This window comes from Homo sapiens, chromosome 17 (assembly GCF_000001405.40).
Source record: "Homo sapiens chromosome 17, GRCh38.p14 Primary Assembly".
Lineage (NCBI taxonomy): Eukaryota > Metazoa > Chordata > Mammalia > Primates > Hominidae > Homo > Homo sapiens.
In genome coordinates, this window is record NC_000017.11 from 21236332 (window position 1) to 21255259 (window position 18928).

The window sequence follows — 18928 nt, forward strand, 5'->3', positions numbered from 1 at the left end:
TCTATCCACCCAATCATCTACCCACTCACCCATCCACCCTTTAATCCATACACTCACTCATCTACCCATCCATCTATCCACCCACCCATCCACCCAGCCATTCACCCATCCACCCATCCATCCATCCACCCACCCACCATCCACCCACCTATCCACTAATTCACCCACCCACTCATCCATTCATTCATCCATTTACCCATCCATCCATCCACCCACCTATCCACACACCCATCCACTAGTTCACCCACCCACCCACCCAACAAATGTTTTGAGCACTAAATGTGTGCCAGGCACTGATCCAGATGCTGGGATTCTGCAATGAACAAAACAAACAAACTCCTGCTCTCATGCAGCTTGTATTCTAGCTGGGAGAGACAATGAATAATAAACCAGATAAAATAAATAAATCATACATTGTGTAAGAAAAAATCAATGGCTGGAAAAAAATGGGGCAGGGTAAGGGGATCAGAAGTGGAGGAGGCGGCAATTTAAATGTTAGGCAGGGGAGAACTGGGAAGGAAGGCCTCATCCAGAAGGTGATCATTGGGCACAGACCTGAAGGAGGTGAGGGACGGAGTCATGAGCATATCTAGGGGAAGAGTACTCTGGGCAGAGGGCATAGCCTCTGAGGTGGGAGCAGCTTTGCAGATACGAGGACCAGCAGGAGGCCCATGTGGCTGGGGTGGAGTGAGAAAGGAGAAGAGTAGTGGGAGATGAGGTCAGAGACCATGAGGCCTGGATCCCTTGGGGCCTGCAGGCTGTGCCCCTTGCAAAGCTCCCTCATCTTTCAGGCCCCAGCCCACATCTCCTTCTTCAAGAGAGCCTTGCAAGTTCTCCGCATTGGGACTGGGTGCGTCGCCTGCGTGTGCACCAATAGTCTGGTCACAAAGTTTCTTGCTACGTGTGTACTTTCTCATCCCCCTCCCCTGAACTCGGGTCCTGTGAAGATAGAGCCCCATCTGCCTGGGTCACCCTCACTGAGCACGGTGTGGATGACATATCTCCAAAGGGCAGTGGCTCCACCTGAACAGGATGCAGGTTCTCTCCTCATGGCTTGTTGGGAAGTTTAAATGAGACGACCTAGTCCAGGGCACCTAGTTGAACTTTTTGTCTTAGTTGGCAGATGAAACACCAATACATTTTTATGCTCTGGCTCTCCTTTCCTAGATTCCAGAATGGCCATGCAGAGGCTTATTCCTGCAGTCTCAGTGTCTTTCCACACCCAATGTATGACCCCATCAAGTTTCCTCTTGAATCAGGACAACTCTCAGGAACAAACCGCTCAAGGGGCCCCGTCTTTCAACTCCTGGGTTCCACCCTCTCCCTAATTCAGAAAATGATAGAATCTCACCCAGCCAGATCTCCCACCTGACTCCATGTTTAATGGCCTACAAGTGTCTCCCTCGACCCTCAGACAAGCTCTTCCCAAGACAAGGGACCTTTTACTTTTAGCACTCCAGTGCATGATGTGCTGGTATTAGTGATGGCAGATGAGCTGGTATTGCTAATAACCATTATCTCACCCGTCCACACATCCATCCACCCACTTACCCATCCACCCACTCATCTACCCCTCCATCTATCACCCAATCATCTACCCACTATCCATCCATTCTTGGTCTGCCTGGTTCTGGGGTCTGTCATCCTCTAGATGCTTTGCCTCAGCCTTGGTATCAATGAACTGGCATTTATGTCATATGCCACAGCCCCTGCAGGCAAGAATATTTCTCCTTGCCCTGATTGTCTGTTGGTTGCCAGCCCTTCCCTTCTCTGATCACAGAGAAGCTGGAAGCCTGCAAACTACATTTGCTAGAGCCCTTACCAGTGGGCTTCCAATTTGTTTCTGCTGGTAGGAAGCACTGATCAATCAGAAGGCAGTAAAGTTCCTGGATCTGGGGGTTTTTTTAGTGGTGGCAACAGCAGGCATGCACACCTGGGTCTTGTTCAGCCATCAACTTTCTACCAGGAGTACCCTAGCAGCCCTGTGATCCCCAGACGCTTCTGGGTGACACCTGTTCCTCCAGCCTCCATGTAAAAGCAGCTTCCTGCACTTACTTACCAATATTTTGGCAATCTCACCTCCACTCTCACTCCTCTCATCCTTCCAACAGTTTTCATAACCAGTCCCCTGCATTAAATCCACTCTGAAGTGCCTGGGCAATTTCCATTTTCCTGACTCTTCACTGACTGGTAATGTCCTTGGTAGCAGGAATGACTTCCTAGAAATAGAGCCTTAATGCTGGAAATCGGGGACTGGTTATCTGCCTGGATTGGGCTGGAACGCAGTAATGACCTCACTGTCAGAGGGGATGTGGTACCCTGGAAAGTCACAGCATTCAGTGGCAAAACTAGTCCTCACAATATCACCTATGTTAAGTGCCTGGCGTGAAGTGTCTCTTGAAGGCAAAGTTTGAGAGACCAAATGGCTGCAGCCCTTCATGTCATGGGGACAGCTGGAGAGACTGGTGGCTTCTGACTACACTGGAGTCAGAAGTGATAAACCCAGCTCAAAACATGGACAGAAAACCAGAGAGCATCTTTGATAACCAGAAAAGAATCTCTTTAATATCTTGTAGCCGTAAGACTGATACAACTGAAAACATAACCCTAAATTTGATTCTGCAGGTTGCAGTTACAACACAAGTTGAAGTCACAGCCTTGCCGGAACTCTTATGTAAAGTTTAGGGCATTGGATCTGGAAGGAGTGGGACCCTGAGAATCGTAAAGGGATATTTGGGTGGACTTGAGCAAATCCAAGAACCCTGAACTGAGGAAGAGCAGTGTGAGTACATGGTCAGGGGCTCCATGAATATTCCTGCCTGCAACCCCAGCTTCACAGGCAATTCAGCCTTCTCCACACTGGCCCGGCACTGGCTAGCTGCTCACCTTATGGCTCGAGGCAGGACCCCCCCGCAGCCTTGCAGCTGAGTGGGAAGTTGCTGGAAGTTGTATCTGTTTATTGCTTTTAAGGCTGTCATGAGCAGACATAAGACCTCATATCACACAAGCTTGATGCCACCAAGAGGACGGGAGCTGGGCTGGGTCCTGAGCCCTTCTAGCGGTGTGGCTTTGGCTTGTGACCCCCGACTCAGCCTCAGTATCATCTATCAAATAGGCCTAATAATGGGCATGTCCCGGGACTGCTGTGAAAACGAAGTGGAGTAAGATTGCAACGGGGCCTGGTGAGGTGGCTCACGCCTGTAATCCCAACACTTTGGGAGGCCGAGGTGGGCGGATCATTTGAGGTCAGGTGTTCAAGACCAGCCTGGCCAACATGGTGAAACCCCGTCTCTACTAAAAATACAAAAATTAGCCAGGCATGGTGGTGGGCACCTGTAATTCCAGCTACTCGGGAAGCTGAGGCAGGAGAATTGCTTGACCCGGGAGGTGGAGGTTGCAGTGAGCTGAGATCGCACCTCTGCACTCCAGCCTGGGCGACAGAGCAAGACTCCCATCTCAAAAAAAAGATTGCAACAGGCCTGGCAATTTATCTTTCATTCTGAGTAGCCATGTAACCCCTAGTGGTAACTAGGAGAAATTGTCCTCCAGCAGTCTGTCCCCTCCCTCAGTAGCTGGGGCGGAATGAGATATGGCCCTGGGCCTGGTGCAAGATTTTCACTTGTTTTGGAAGCATTAGCCACAGCTTTTCCTTGATGGGCATGTGTTATCATGAGGCTGGGCCTCACCTCCCTGCATTGGACCAGAAATTCTAAAGGAAGCAACTTCTTATGGCACAGCGGATCTCATGCATGGCATCACTGCCCCTTCCCTAGGAGACCGCACAAAGCCACTCAGCTTCATAGCTGGGCTGTGGCCTCAGAGGCTTTTGTGCCTGGAGGTGGCAGGGAACTGTGGTGTGGGGGCTGGGCCAGCCGGGAAGGTAGAGCCGCCCAGACTGGGGTCTGGGTTCCTGAAGTCACTGTTATCCTGCAGGGAGACCTCAGCCAAGCCCCAGTGACACGCAGGGTCTCGCTCTCCACGCTGAAGGCTGTGCTGAGGGCTGAGCAAAAAGAGGCCAGACACCAGGGAGGGAAGCCCGCCTCCCCCTCCCCACCTCGACCTCCACACCAGTTAAGGCTGACCGGCAGGTTGCTGTGGGGGAAGCGACAGCGTGCAGACAGCACTGCATGCCAGGCCACACCTTTTATGGAAATGTTCCTCTGAGACCTGTTGATGAGCTTGGAGAATGAGGAAGGGGACGGTCCAGCGGCCAGCTGGGTCCACACCCTGCCGCCGGCCCTGAGGAGGGAAGGCACGAGTCACTGCCTATTTTGACCCGGCAAGAAATACAAACCCACAGGGTGAGGCGGGCAGAAAAGCAGCTCTGTGGGAGACCTGCAGGCCCCTGAGCATCCCCTGCCCCAGTCAGGTTCTCGCCCAGGTGCATAAACCGGCCCCATGTGGCGGCATCCTTACCAAGGACCCCCAGGTGACCGGACAGGAGGGGTGAGGCTAGGCTGCCAGGCAGACAGGGTAGCACCAGATGGGATGGGCTGGGGGCTCCAGGGCACGGTGTCTGTGGCAACCCAACCTGGGAAGATGTTATTGCTCTGCTGGAGACCTTGGGCCAGGCCCCGCGAAGCCCTGCCTAGCCCCTTGGCGTGGGTTAGCGGTGCTTTAAGGCAGCCCGAGGCGAGGAGGCCAGGTCATACCTGCGGGAGCTTGATGAGGCCTCATGAGAAAGCCCTAGTCTCAGTTCCTGGGCCCGGGGCCTCTGCAGGCCTCCACCACCCCATGCTGCCTAGTTCAAGTATTTGTTGTGGGCTGGCCAGATCAAGAGTCACCTGCTAGAACACAGGGGTAGGAATCTTAGGTGGGAGTGGGAACAGAGTGGCACCAGGCCCATTCCCTCCTGGCTCTCAAGGTCCATGCTGGCCCTCAGGGGCTTCCTGTGGGGGACTCTTTGTGCTGTCACTGCAAGGGACCCTCCTGCGGATGGGCTGGAGGCCACAGGGACATGGCCCCAGCTCACTGAGCTCCTGAGTGGTCATGATTGACTATGTGCTTGAACTTGGGGAGGGACGTGTAGATGGGAAGGGGGTGACCTTAGGGAGGGTAAAAGAGGACCCTAGCTCTGCTGCCCTGGGACAGTAAGGGGAAGGCCCAGGCCTGGCTGCCCATCCTCTGTGCCTACAACCTGCTCTTTCCTTAAATTCTGCCAGCAATGGGCCACCCCTAGCCCCGGAGCAGCTCAGCCCACCTCCTGCCAGCTGCATCTCCCTGGAGGCCCAGGGCTTTCTCCGACCTCTCACACAAGCCCTTTGCAAAAGAGCTGACTTCCTGGAGGCCAGGGCAGGAGCATCTGCCACAGGTCAAGGGGCAGGGATGTCGGGGGTACTCAGGATGGTGACCCCTCCTGGTCCATGCTGTGACCCACAGCAGGGGTTTCGAGGAGACTCCGGGGCTCGGGGACCCCCATCGGCAGGCTGCCAGGCCTCCCTGCACATGCAGGTCTCCGTGGTCCTGCGTCCAGGCAGGAAGGCCCCTGGGCTGCTGTTGCTGGAGAAGGAATGTGGGGGGTCTCGGTGCCAAGACTGGGGATAGCAAGGAGGTGAGTGGGAAATGCAACCACAGGCCAGCCAGCGCCCGTGCATGGAGTCAAAGGGAGGAGTCAGCATGGTGACCACTGCCCCTGCACCGGGGGAGGAAGGCATGGGGGTCCTGGTGAACCTCTCCCTGTACTGCCCAGAGCCCAGCCTGACTCCCCCCGAAGCCGGGTAGGGATGCATCACTCCGACTAACAAATGTCTCAGCCCTAAAGGGCCCCTGGCTCCAGGTCACCCTCCAGCTCTACAGAAGGGCAGGGACGAATCTGATCCTTGTTAGCACTGACACAAGAGGGCGGGACCTGAGTCAGCCCCAGGGGAAGCCAGCATGCCCTGGAAAGGCTGGTCCCACCAAAGCATGCTAGTGTGTCTCCCAGGCTGCACCCAGGAAGGCTGGGTTGGGGAGGAGCCCAGGGCCAGATGGGCAGCAAAGTGTATCCGGCTGTAGCCAGCCACAAAAGAGGACACTGATGTCTGGCAGCAGCACAGAAACCCCTGTGGCTGATGTTTCTTCCTCTTGGATGCTGAGGGTGGTTTTTGGAGAATAGTCAGCTTCACTCCCACCCCAGCCCCAAGGCATCTCCTCGGAGAAGGCTCAGGCAGGTGGCCAAGGCCAGCAAGGGGCGGGCCTGCAGCTGCTCAGGCCCCCTTGGATCTCCTCCTGGCAGACAGGGGTATAGGGGATAGCAGCCCATGGGGATGGGGCCTTGGTTTCCTGCAGAACCTACACGAGAGGCCAAAAAAAAGATGGGGGTACCAAGGAGAGGAAAACACCCCCGGCACCCACCACCAGCCCGCCTGTAGACTGCATCCTGTGTGTTCACATGTGTGAACCGCACGTACGGTTGAGCCTGGCCAGTGCTCAGTCCTTCACTCTGCTGGTCTCTGTCAGGGAGAGCTGACCCTTTCCAGGGCCCTGCCTGCACTGGGCATGGGGGTCTGAGAAAGGGGCAGCACCGCTGGCAGGTGGGGTCTGGCACTGCCACCCTCAGAAGCTGGCACACGAGGTTTCTTATTGCTCCTCTTGGCTCTGGAGCACACCTTCTTAATTTCCAGAAAGGACACAGGCCCAGGAGAGGTGGCAGCAGGGGTCCCACACTGGCCCTCCTGCTGATCTCCAAGTGGAGCCCGGTGGGCAGGATGCAGGCTGGCTCTAGCCCCTACGTGTGACCCACAGGCCTCCCACGAAGCCGCTGGTCTCTGCAGAGTGAGAGGTGCCGGGACTACCTGGCCTCCTTGCCGCCTCGGTTACCGGGTCACCGCCCATCATTGGTCAGCTGCCTCCAGGGATCTGGACGTGGGGCACAGATGAGTGTCCTTACAAAAATAACTCTGAGTCTGTTCCCAGTGGGACCAGGTTCCTGAGAGCACGTGGGGCCAGGCAAAGGCCACGTGGAAGAGTCCGGCAGGGAGCGCTCCCGCCTGCAGGCCAGGGTTACGGCTGCAGGCGCTCCAGGTACTGCGGCAGGGGGTTCTCCTTGACGTACTTCTGGATGTACCAGCAGGTGAGATGGGCCTTCAGGTCCTCCTCCACCACGAAGTCCAGGGCGGCCTGGGAGCCGGGCAGAGAGGAGAGTGGTCAGGGCCTGCAGCCGGCACCAGAAGGTAGCATTGTCTGCTGCCTCCCCAGGCCCGGCTCCCTGGCCACCCTTCCACTTTGCCCAGGTCAGTAACTCCCTTGAGTTTCAGTGTCACCTGGGATGATCCCCACAGACTGGTCCGGTACACAAGGAAAAAACACATCACCTCTCCCCTACAAGCCCCCTTGCCCCAGGCAGCATGGAGGACAAAGGTTGCCCTGCAATTCTCCTGGCGGGGTGGGGGTGGAGGAGGGGAAGCCGGCAGACGGCCCAGCTAAGTCCCAGCAGCAGCCCTCAGGGGAGTGACGGTCATTCTTTGCTCTGGCTGTAACTCCCTTCATTAAGCCCAAACCTGCTCTCCAGGCAGCCTGGGGTTTGGGATGCCCTGAGGATGAAGGGGTTGGGGGCAGGAATGGGGCTCCTGTGAAGCACCTGCCACACAGGAGGTGTGTGAGGATCTTGGAGGCTCAGCCACGCCAGGGTCTTGCAGAACAGGAGCCTGGGCCCAGAAAGGCGGCCACTGGCCCAGAGAGGACCCAGGGCCAAGAAGCAGGCTGAAGTGGCCACCAGGGCCACCGTCTCCTCGGAGCGAAGGTGGCAGCCCCCATGTCCCCGTCCCCGCTTGGCCCTGCCACCTGCCTGCCCTACCTTGGCAAGGTGCTTGGCGATGCCACGCCCACGGTAGGCATCTGGGACCTCGGTGTGCTGCAGGTCCACGATCCGCTTGCCCACGTACTCATAGAGCAGGACGGCCCGGTCATGACATCCTGGGGGTTGTGGAGACAGGTAAGCCTATGCTGACTCCCATCCCAGCGGACTCAGGCACCAAGACGGGTGGAGGGACAGGCATTTGGAGTCATTCAGCTGCTACAGCTGAATCCTGAATAACCTCTCAGTGCCTCAGTCTCCTCATCCATAAAGTGGAGGTACAATAAAATGTCCTTCATAGGGTGGTTTGGAGGATTAAATGAGGTAACCTCTGTGACGTGCTTACAGCCATGCCTAGAACACTTGAGCCCCACATGAACCTTTGCTACTGCGTCAGTCCTAGCATCCCAGGGCCCTGCCACCCCTTTCTGTAGCCCTGCTCCCTGCATCCCCACCCCACCACATCCCTGGATCTGGGAGTCCCAGAACCCAGCACTGGACACAGAACAGGGCTCAGCAAATCTGCAACTAAGGCAGAGCATGAAGAGATTAGAGAGGCAGCGCTGCGCCACGCATCAGGACCACCTGCTGGACCCTGAGAGAGACGCAGCAGGAAAGATCAGAGGCCTGTGGTAGAGTTCATGAGAAACTGACGCTGGGCACAGGAGGCAGGAACAAACGGGTTTTCACACTCCACCAGGCCTGCCAAGCCTGGAGCTCACCAGTCCACCCCAAACTGCTGCTGGGCAAACAATTAACTGAACTTTTTCCTAATCACAGTTTTTAGTGTCTCATCTATTTGTCTCTCCACCTACCCATCCATCAACCCACCCATCCACTTATCCATCCACCAAATGTTTCCTGAGCCCCAGGTACTGTTTCAGATGCTGGGAGTATAGCAACAAACAAGCTAGACATGGAGTCCTACCCCCATGAAACCGGAAGGGGAGAAAGAGAATAAACATGAAAAGCAAGTGATGTGTAGGATGCCAGGGAATGGGGGCAGGTGAAGACAGGAAGGAGAGGGCACCAGCCATTCTGAGGGAACAGTGTTCTGGGCAGAGGGAACAGCCAGTGCAAAGGCTCTGAGGCAGGAGTAGGCCTGAATGAGGGGCCGCTGGAGTGGGGTGGGTGAGGGGAAGGGCAGAGATGGGGGCAGGGAGGTGATAGGGCAGGTCCTGCAGAGCCTCCTAAGCCTTCTGAGCTGGGCGCCACTAGAAGGCCCTCAGCAAAGGGACAGATGTGATTCACTCTTTAAAATCATGCTGTGTTTCATGAGTTTTAACTTCAAAGCCCCAGAAAATCTGCCCTTAAAGCCTGTGCTGGGCAACACGAGGGGAAGGCTGACAGGCCAAGAGGTCCAACCACTAGTCCAGGGCCACCGGAACTGGGGCCAACGGCAGCAAGGAGGCCTTCTGGCTCTTGGTATCTCCTTTGATTCTCCCCAAAGCCTCAGGAGAGTGGCTACAATTCATCTCCCCATTTCCAGATGAGGAACTACTGAGATGCAGGGATCCAAGTCACACAGCAGGCCAAGATGACGCTGGAGCCCAGGCCTGCAGGTCCTGAGCCACAGCCATTCTTTCTGCTCCACCGACACACCTGCTACTTCCTGCACCCGCCATCGCCTAGGCACTTCCCTCTGCCTGATGCCCTTTCTCCGTTCCTGCCAGGCCCAGCTGAGGGTTCCCCAGCCCCACTCCCCTCATGCCTGCAGCCCCGCCCCCACACCAGCCCTGCTGCCTCCTCCTTGTGGGCCTGACTGTCCTTCTGTGGACTATGCCTGCCACCCTGGCCAAGGCCCAGCTGTGGCCACTGCCGCCTGTCCTGGCTGCACAGCAAGGGATGTGGTTCTTGGCTCCCCACCTGCTGGGGTTAATTCAACTCACCCAGGACAGGAGAGCAGAGATCGGAGGCTATTCTGGGACTGACTCCGTCACCAAGGGAGCTGCCTACCTAGCCTGGCCATTTAATTACCCCAGGCTCATTGAGGGCCTACTGTGTCCCAGTAGGGTTTGGGCTGCAGGGCAGGCAGCAGCGAACAAAACTGATGAAACTCTTCCTCATGGAGATCTTACGTACTGATGAAGACACACAATAAGTAATATCATTATAAATAATACAGGGGCCAGGCACGGTGACCCACTCCTATAATCCCAGCACTTTGGGAGGCCGAGGTGGGTGGATCACCTGAGTTCAGGAGTTCGAGACCAGCCTGGCCAACATGGTGAAACCCCATCTCTACTAAAGATACAAAAATTAGCCAGAAATGGTAGCGGGTGCTTGTAATCCCAGCTACTTGGGAGGCTGAGGCAGGAGAATCACTTGAACCCGGGAGGCAGAGGTTGCAGTGAGCTGAGACCGCATCATTGCACTCCAGGCTGGGCAACAAGGGCAAAACTCCATCTCAAAAAAAAAAGAAAAAAAAAAAAAAAGCTGAGCATGGTGGTACACACCTATGGTCCCGGCTATTTGGGAGGCTGAGGCGGGAGAATCACTTGAGCCCAGGAGTTTGGGGCTGTAGTGAGATATGATTGTTATCACTGCATTCCAGCCTGGGTGACAGAGTGAGACCCTGTCTCTAAATAAATACATACATCACAGAGGCCACACAGGTGATAAGCTGACAGGTGCCAAGGATCACTATACAGCAGAGGAGGGGTGGGGAGGGGCAGGGCTGCCACTGTAAAGAGGGCATACAAGGACCCCAAAGGACATGTGGGGTATGAGCCGCCCACTGGTGAGAACAGCACGTGCAAAGGCCCTGGGGTAGGAGGTTGAAGGAAGAGCAAGGAGGCCAGAGTGGCTGGGCCCAAACAAGCCGGGAGTGAGGGTTGGGAAACCAAGTCAGAGATCCTGGGGCCAGACCACACAGGGCCCTGCAAGCCACCAAAAAAACCTCAGCTTTTGCTCCAGCAGTCTCTGCAGAGCAGGGAGGTGGATACAAGAAGCCTGGCAAGCTCATTACTACTCCTCTGTGCACACCCTGCGTCAGTGTTTCTGGAGTAGCCACCTGGGCCATGGATGGACCTGACCCTGGGAGTCCTCAGAACTTCTCTGCCTCCCATTGACCCTCAGTGATCGCACAGCTCAGCCACTACCATATTCCAGGCACCCAGCTCGGCGTAGACACCCAAGAAATGTTTGTCCAACTAAAACAACTGCTTTCTGTCTTTGCCAGACACACACTAGGGCCTTGTGGCAGACCTGTGGACAACTGGCTGGACCAGCATGCTGGCCTTCCCACAGCCAGGCCTGCACCTCAGGCTGTGGCTCCCAGGAGACAGCAGGACAGAAGCGGTGGTGGCCCAAGCGTGTGCAGCCCCAGCACAGGGCAGGCTCGTGCTCTGCTCTCTCCACACAACGATCCTCACAACCATCCCACTAAACACGATTCTCACAGCCCCATGTACAGATGGGGAAACCGAGGCCCAGGAGGGAGGAAGGTGGTGGTGATCATCCCGGGACAGGTCAGTTCTCTGGGGCAGAGAGGTGTCGGGACTGGGGTAAGATCACCTGGCAGAGTTGAGACTGGAACTGAGGGCCCTGCCCTGCCCTAAGCTTGCTCCTGTGGCTCCCAAGTGACAAGTCCTGCCCCCCTGTGCTAGTCTGAGGTCTGGAGCTCTCAAGGCAGCTCTTAGAGCCTAGCCCAGATAAGGGCCTATGGCCTGGACCAGGCCTAGAGGCTATGCCTGTGTCACTGTGAGCCGAGACAGCAGGATCCACAGTGCCCAGAAGTGAAAGCGTGGCTGACAGTGCTACCCTGGTGTCCTGCTGTCCCGTCATGGGTGCTGCGGGCAGTCAGGGGAGGCCTCTGGGCAGGTGACGTTTGGGCTCACCTGGAATGAGAGTCACGGAGGTGTATGGAGTTGACTGGGGATAGGGCTGAGTCAAAGGAGGGTCTTCAGGCTGAAAGGGGAACAGAGGGCATCTGGGGTGGCCACGGTGGTGGTGGGGCTGTATGTGAGGAAAAGACCGAGTTTAAATGGACACCCTACATGGGCCAGACCACATGGCACTGGGCCAGCGAGGAGCCAGGCTCCTGGGCAGCAACCTCGGAGCATCTGGCCAGGACCTGAACCCCACCTTGGAGGGCCTTCAAAGGCCACCCAGTCACAAGTGTTACACCCATGACACAGGCCACAAATGCAATACCGGTCCTCACGCTCAACTCCTTGTCCTGCCCCAAACCTGCCTGGACATCCCAGGAAAATGCCCAAGTCCCCAAAGCTTGACCAAGGTCCTTGGCTCCTCCTCACCTTTTCTCATCTGACCTGACCCTCGGCAGGACCGTGGACATGGCTTTCTAAACATGCCTGGGGTCCAGCTGCCTCTCTGGCCTCCCTGCCTTGGTGGCTGCTCCCCTGCCTGTCACCTTTCTGCCCAGGGCCTCCGGGGACCCTTCCTTCTCATTTCAGGTGAGCCCAAAGGTCACGTGCCCAGAAGCCTCCCCTGACCACCCGCAGCCCCCATGATGGGACAGCAGGACACCAGGGTAGCACTGTCAGCCACGCTTTCACTTCTGGGCACTGTGGATCCTGCTGTCTCGGCTCACAGTGACATAGGCATAGCCTCTGGGCCTGGCCCAGGCCCTTATCTGGGCAGCTCTAAGAGCTGCCTTGAGAACTCCAGACCTCAGACTAGCACAGGGGGGCAAGACTTGTCACTTGGGAGCCACAGGAGCAAGCCTAGGGCAGGGCAGGGCCCTCAGTTCCAGTCTCAACTCTGCCAGGTGATCTTATGCCAGTCCTGACACCCCTCTGCCCCAGAGACCTCACCTGTCCCTGGATGATCACTACCACCCTCCTCCCTCCTGGGCCTGAGAACCCCACCAGCATCACGTGACTGGTTTGGGAAAAGTTAAAGCTACACTGCTCGTGGGGGACCCGTCCCTGGGTCTCTGCACCCCCATGCTCTCTCTGCCCCTCCTGAACCTCGGGACCAAAGGGGGCCAGGAAATTGTCAGGGGAGGCGATCACAGAGAAAGACCAAAGCTTGCAGACAGGGGACAGGGGCAGGACCTCTGGGAGATGTGGAGTCTGCAGAAGACATTGACCTCTGCTTTCTCCACTCGGCCCACACTGACCCCGCAAGGAGAGCTGGCAGATCAAAACGCGAATATACAGATGAGGAGACTGAGGTAGACGGAGGCAGAGCCCAGGCGCCAGAGCTGTGGCACGGGACAAGGACAAGCAGACACCCTGGCCGGCTTTTCTGGCACCTCTGTAAGTAGAGCCTGGATCAGGGAGGTGCCACATGTTGGTGGTTCATTGGTAGATTAGGCAGAGGGAGCTGTGAGCCTGGAGAAGCTCAACCATACGTCCCTCCCCTCCCCAGAGGACCCTGGTCCAGCCCAGCCCAACACAGCCAGCGGCCTCATATTGGGGCTGTGATCTGAGCACCTCCCAAAGCCTGGGGCTGTGATCTTAGCTCCACTGCATCCAGGGGTGCTGAGGGAGGCCAGGGGCAGCAGCTGACTCTCTGGGGCCTCAGTCTTCCTGGCTGCAAAATGGGGGTTAGGGAGGACGCAGAAAGTTCCAGGGTTCTGCACCCCTCAAGTGTTCCTTTCCTTGCAGCAAGTGGGACACTCAGCCCTGCCTGTGAGGGAAAGGGAAGGCTAAGGAAGGGGCTGCCCAGGAGGTGGGGGTCTCTTCCAGCTGCCTCCAACCTTCAGAAACCGTCCTCAGATGGAGGCCGGGGGCTTGATTCTGGCTTAGCTGCCTACAGGCTGTGCGCCTTGGTTTCCCCATCTATAAAGTAATGACAAGCTTGCATTTCAGAACCAGGATATGGCATCAGACAAGCCTGAGCTCAAGCCTTCCCTCATCACCCACAAGCAAGTCACAGCCATGCTTCCTTCCACATCTGTCCAGGATCTAGACGTTTCTCCCACGCCTGTTTGCAGTGCCTGGACTAGTAAAGTAACCACCTCCCTGCTCTGTCCTGGTCCCCACAGTTTGCTCCCCTTAGAGCAGCAGCTAGAGGGAGCTGGGGCATCCCATCTGTCTTCTGCTCAGGACCCTCCTGGGAGCCTCAGAGTCAAAGCCGAGCCCATAGGACAACGGCTTCCAGGCCCTGCACCACCTGCTCCCCATGACCTCTTGACCCATCCTGCACACACAAGGCATCGCAGGCACTGCAGAGCCTTTGCTCTTGCTATTCCCTCCACTTGGAACACTCTTCCCTGTTGCAGCTCTGTTTCTTGCCTCCTTCAGGTCTTCACTTAAATGCCACCCTCCAGGGAGGGGCCTTCCTAGACACATGATTGTAAATAGCAGCCCTGCCCAACACAGCCTCCCCTCTGCCCCCTGCACCTCTCATGAAAGCCCTTGTTTTCCAGGATACTTTAAAACTGACTCTATTTCTTGTCCATTTCCCTCTCTAAACTGTCAGCCCCAGGAGACCCCGACACCTAAAAGAGTGCTTGGTACATGGTAGGTGCTCAACAAATACTTGCGGGGTGAATCACAGCTCTTCCACCTCTGTGGTGCAAGACTTTGGGCAAGTCATTTCACTTCCCCATGCCTCAGTCTCCCCATCTGTATATGGGAAATGCAGTTTCCCCTCTCCCTGTGGTGTGTGGCTATGAAATAAAGTGACTCCAGGTGCCCAGGGCCTCCTAGAACACTGTAAATGCTTAATAAACAAAGGTGCTCAAACGTTTTCCCTCACTCAGAACCAGAGCTCGCAGGAAGAGAATCAGCCTAGCTGTGCTATGTGGACAGCCTAGGAACACTTCTGCACCAGGAGCCTGGGGCTACCTGACCCCTCAGCCTCAGTGTTTATATCTCTCAGTGGGCACAACAGCACCAGCCTCCAGGCTTGCCTTACAGGTCGGGAATGACACCACAGCCTGTTGTCCTCCTCAGCTCAGGGAGGCCTGGGCTCAGACTCAGACGACCCCTCTCTGGTCCCAAGACACACACCCAAACCCAGTGGGGCCTGGAAGCCCAGAAGAGCCCCACCCTGTGCTGCACAGCCACTCCCTTGGGGGCCTCTGGCCTCTCTCTTCTTTCTCCCCTGGGCTTGGCTGGGGAGATGCCCAGCCACATCTGTGGTCAGCTATCTGGGCAGTGAATTCCAGAAGGGGGTAAGTTTAGAAATACGGCTGGGCATGTCCAGCCCTGACCACGGCCAGCTCTGGAGGGCTGTCCTTTGGCTGTACCCACTTGGAAGAGAAAGAAAAAGAAAAAAAAAAAAAAAAAACAAACGTATCCCCTCTTCTTTCTGTCTCTGAGTATAATGGCCCTCCCGAGCCCACAAGGGAACCAGAGGCCGCTCTGGAACCTCAGAAGAGAGGATTTGAAAGCCATGAGGCCTCTCTCCCAGAGTCGCCAGGGCCCCGAGTGTCCTGGCCAGCTGAGCCCTGCCAGCACCACAGCAGTAGCAGGACTTGCCTCTGCCTGGTGGTGTAGGGTTGGTTGGGCCAATGGTGAAGTTCTGGGTGATGCTGGGCAATCACTTCCTAAGGTCCCTAGCCTCAGTTTCCTCATCTGTAACACGGGGTGGTATGTCACAACATTGTCAGGGTATTGTGACAGTCCCATCCACGAAGCTGTAGTGGGGCCTGGCTCGACACTCGGCACATTCCAAATGGCATCGGAGATCTGGCAGAGGCCCCTCCTGGCTGAAGCCAAATGTGGGTCGCAGGAGCCCCACCGTTCAGGGAGTCAGACCAGTCAGGACGCCATCCCAGCTCTGCCCAACTCTCAGCCTGACCTCTCGCAAGCCTTTCCCTTTCCTGGCCCTCCACCTTCCCTTCTTGAAAATGGGCACAGTGGCCCCTAAGGACCGGTCCAGCTTGGACATTCCCACTGGGGCGAGGTGGGCCACAGGGAGTTCATAGCCCTTGTTTTTGTAGTTCTATTTCCTACCTGTGGGACCTCCTGAGGGGGGATGGGCTAATCAAAACTTCTCTACACTGGCAGGGCGTGGTGGCTCACTCCTGTAATCCCAGCACTTTGGGAGGCCATGGCAGGTGGATCACCTGAGGTCAGGAGTTCAAGACCAGCCTGGCCAACATGGTGAAAGCCTGTCTCTAATACAAAAATTAGCTGGGCATGGTGGTGGGTGCCTGTAATCCCACCTACTCCTGAGGCTGAGGCAGGAGAATCACTTGAACCCAGGAGGCAGAGGTTGCAGTGAGCCGAGATTGTGTCACAGGAACATTGTGTCGCCTGGGCGACAGAGTGAGACTCCATCTCAAAAAACAAAAACTTCTCTACACTAAGGGAGAACTTGCCCTTGCTTTCTGGCTTCACGAATCACGATCGGGCCACGTTTACCAGCACTTACTAATCCCCCATGAGCTGGTCTGATCCTTTACATTTGTTACAGTCTTTCATCCTTACAACTAGCCAATGGGGTGTGCACTGGTATTATTCCCATTGCAGAGAGGGAGAAACTAAGGCACACAGAAGTGAGGCAAATGGCCAGTCCCAGAGCCACTGAAGTCTTGATAGTGATAGCCATCCCCCCGCCCCTCACTCCCCCCAGGGGACCACAAGCCCCTTTCGCGGTCAGCCCCAGGTCCGCAGGCCTCCCCCGTGTAGAAAGACTAAGATTCCCAGGGGCAGCAGGAAGCCATATACCACCCGCAGAAGGGGACAGGTCACGGCTGACCAACTTTCCAGGATCTCAAACAGGAGCCTTCAGTGGGTGCCCAACAGTCGTGAACAAGTGGGCCTGAGCAGGTGCGGGTCCCCTGCGGCTGAGACAGGGGACCCGCGCTGCCCCAGCTCCTGCCTCTGCCTTTCCAGGGGCCCCTGTCCGCCCTGGCCCCTGCTCTCCCGGGAAGTCTGCCCCCGCCCAGCCCGTTCCACTTCCCGGAGCGCCGGCCGCGCCCCCACCTGGCCCCGAGCACAACCCGGCCCGCGCCCGGAGCTCCGGCCGCCCGGGACCACCCCGCGGCGCGCGCTTGCAACAGCCTTCCCGGGCGGCGGGCCGGAGCCGGGCCGCGGGCGCGCGGGGGACAGGCACCCAGCAAGGGGGCGGCCCCGGCGGGCCCCGCTCGCTCGCAGACAAAAGGTCGGGGCGGGCCGGGGCCGCCTTACCGTTGAGCCGGACAGTGAACTGGCGGCGCCGGCGGTCGTGCTCCACGCGGATGGGGCAGCCCTGCTCCAGCGCGCCCAGCGGCACGGCGGCAGCCGAGTGCGCCATCTGCGCGCGGGGCTGCGGCGCGGCGCCGGCGGGGGCCGGGGCGCGCGGGGAAAGGTCAGGCGCGCGGCGGGGCTGGAGCGCGGGCGCAGGCGGCAGGCGGTGGGGTAGTTACGGCCTGGGAGACCGCAGGCGGCGGCGCTGAAAGTGACACTCGGCGGCGGCGGCAGCAACAAAAAGGGTGGGGGGGGGGCCAGGAAATCAGCTGTGAGGTCACGTGCGGCGCGCAGCCAGTGGACGCGCGGCCTTTTTGTTTTGATACATTCCAGTCACCTCTTAAAGGGGCCGCGCCGGCCGCGTTCCTCTCGCAGCCCCAAACAAAACAACACGGGCCGCCGCCGCGCCGCGCCGGCTACTTTTCCGTCTTGCGTTTGTCCCACGTGCAACTTTGGGACCCCCGCAAGGAGCCTTCTAAAAAAGACGTAACAATCTTTTGTATGGACATTCTAATCGTCCCCAAGGCAGCCACCATTTATTAAGCACTTGCTGTGTGCACGGCCTGTGTATAGCAAAGCCCTGGCGCACAGGGCGCTCAGTAATCACTGCGCTGAGATTTATCACCAGAAGCCTGAGAAATAGGTATGCTTGACTCCATTTTACAGATGAGCAAATAGAGGCTAAGACAAGTGAAAGACATGCATAAGTTCTCACGCAGCTGAAGCCCTGGGGCTACTGGTGCTAGGAGTGCGCACCCACCCGTGTTGGCAGCCTGGGTGGCTACTGGCTACTGGGAAGGAATTGTCCTGTGAAGCCTTGTTTGGGATAGGAGTGAAATGCCACCTCTCCCAAAGAGAGGCGTAAATGCGGGAAGAGGCCTTGGGGATCCCTGGATCCACTCCATAGATGGGGAGGCTGAATCCCAGAAAGGGGCAGGGACTTGCTTGAAGACACACAGGACTGTTGGGGCTCAGACTTCTTTGAAAGGCGCCTTAATTAGGCTCCTCAAGGCTCAACCTTAGAGCCACACCCTCCCCTCTTGCTCACCTGAAGGGGCACTCCTGTTGCCCATAGCTGTGCAGTGAATCATACAGGTTACTTTTAATATTTTGCTAATTACGGTGCAAACTTGATGTTCACACCCGTGTGACCACCATCCAAATCAAAATACAGAACACTGGTGGTTCCCTAGGGCCCTCTTCCAAGCAATGCCCTACCCTTTGAGGTAACCACTGTCCCTGACTTCTAGTGTTGTTGACTAATTAGGTTTCTCTAGACCATCATGTAAACATAATCATACAATATATACTATTTTATTTTATTTTAAGACGGAGTCTCTCTCTGTCGCCCAGGCTGGAGTGCAGTGGCTTGATCTCGGCTCACTGCAGCCTCTGCCTCCTGGGTTCAAGCGATTCTCCTGCCTCAGCCTCCTGAGGAGCTAGGACTACAGGGCTACAACAACAAGCCGGGGTAATTTTGGTATTTTTAGTAGAGACAGGGTTTCGCCATGTTGGCCAGGCTGGTTTCAAACTTCCAACCTCAGGTGATCCATCCGCCTTGGCCTCCCATCGTACTGGGATTACAGGCATGAGCCACCGCACCCAGTCCAATATGTACTTTTAATGTCCAATTTCTTTTGCTCAATATTTTATCTGTGAGATTCATCCCTGTTTTTGCATCTTTTTCGCCACTGAGTAATTATTCCATTGTGTTGACAAAAAAAGCCAAACTGTAAAATATTTGAAGAGCTTATTCTGAGCCAAATATGAGTGACTATGGCCCTGGACACAGCCTCAGGAGGTCCTGAGAACATGTGCTGGAGGTGGTCGGGTTATAGCTTGGTTTTATACATTTTAGGGAGACAGAAGTTACAGGCAAAGACCTAATACCTGTAAGGTGTACATTGGTTCGGCCATCCAGAAAGTGGTGGGGGCTTACAGCTCATAGGTGTATTCAAATATTTTCTTTTTCTTTTTTTGAAACAGGGTCTCGCTGTGTCACCCAGGTTGGAGTGCAGTGTCGCCATCTTGGCTCACTGCAACCTCTGCCTACCTGGCTCAA

The 18928-nt window shown here is 56.5% G+C and overlaps 1 protein-coding gene across 1 annotated transcript, besides 6 other annotated features; it reads right to left on the reverse strand.

The window, feature by feature from the left end:
* Nucleotides 2522-3266: an enhancer, noted in NCBI's record as "H3K4me1 hESC enhancer chr17:21142166-21142910 (GRCh37/hg19 assembly coordinates)". NCBI's record gives its function as "activates a minimal SCP1, AML or CMV promoter by ChIP-STARR-seq in naive and primed H9 embryonic stem cells {active_cell/tissue: H9 hESC(naive and primed)}" and the evidence as "EXISTENCE:reporter gene assay evidence [ECO:0000049][PMID:30033119]".
* Nucleotides 2539-17079, reverse strand: NATD1 (N-acetyltransferase domain containing 1). Its single transcript, NM_152914.3, has 3 exons — nucleotides 16828-17079; nucleotides 7775-7893; nucleotides 2539-7098 (listed from the first exon to the last, which is right to left on the reverse strand). Exons 1-3 carry the CDS (start codon nucleotides 16931-16933, stop codon nucleotides 6982-6984), a joined length of 342 nt encoding a protein of 113 aa, NP_690878.2. The 5' UTR covers nucleotides 16934-17079; the 3' UTR covers nucleotides 2539-6981.
* Nucleotides 4012-4756: an enhancer, noted in NCBI's record as "H3K27ac-H3K4me1 hESC enhancer chr17:21143656-21144400 (GRCh37/hg19 assembly coordinates)". NCBI's record gives its function as "activates a minimal SCP1, AML or CMV promoter by ChIP-STARR-seq in naive H9 embryonic stem cells {active_cell/tissue: H9 hESC(naive)}" and the evidence as "EXISTENCE:reporter gene assay evidence [ECO:0000049][PMID:30033119]".
* Nucleotides 7735-8477: an enhancer, noted in NCBI's record as "H3K4me1 hESC enhancer chr17:21147379-21148121 (GRCh37/hg19 assembly coordinates)". NCBI's record gives its function as "activates a minimal SCP1, AML or CMV promoter by ChIP-STARR-seq in naive H9 embryonic stem cells {active_cell/tissue: H9 hESC(naive)}" and the evidence as "EXISTENCE:reporter gene assay evidence [ECO:0000049][PMID:30033119]".
* Nucleotides 12709-13210: an enhancer, noted in NCBI's record as "H3K4me1 hESC enhancer chr17:21152353-21152854 (GRCh37/hg19 assembly coordinates)". NCBI's record gives its function as "activates a minimal SCP1, AML or CMV promoter by ChIP-STARR-seq in primed H9 embryonic stem cells {active_cell/tissue: H9 hESC(primed)}" and the evidence as "EXISTENCE:reporter gene assay evidence [ECO:0000049][PMID:30033119]".
* Nucleotides 16701-16820: a silencer, noted in NCBI's record as "silent region_8315". NCBI's record gives its function as "represses an Ori minimal core promoter by ATAC-STARR-seq in GM12878 lymphoblastoid cells {active_cell/tissue: GM12878}" and the evidence as "EXISTENCE:reporter gene assay evidence [ECO:0000049][PMID:35858748]".
* Nucleotides 16971-17080: a silencer, noted in NCBI's record as "silent region_8316". NCBI's record gives its function as "represses an Ori minimal core promoter by ATAC-STARR-seq in GM12878 lymphoblastoid cells {active_cell/tissue: GM12878}" and the evidence as "EXISTENCE:reporter gene assay evidence [ECO:0000049][PMID:35858748]".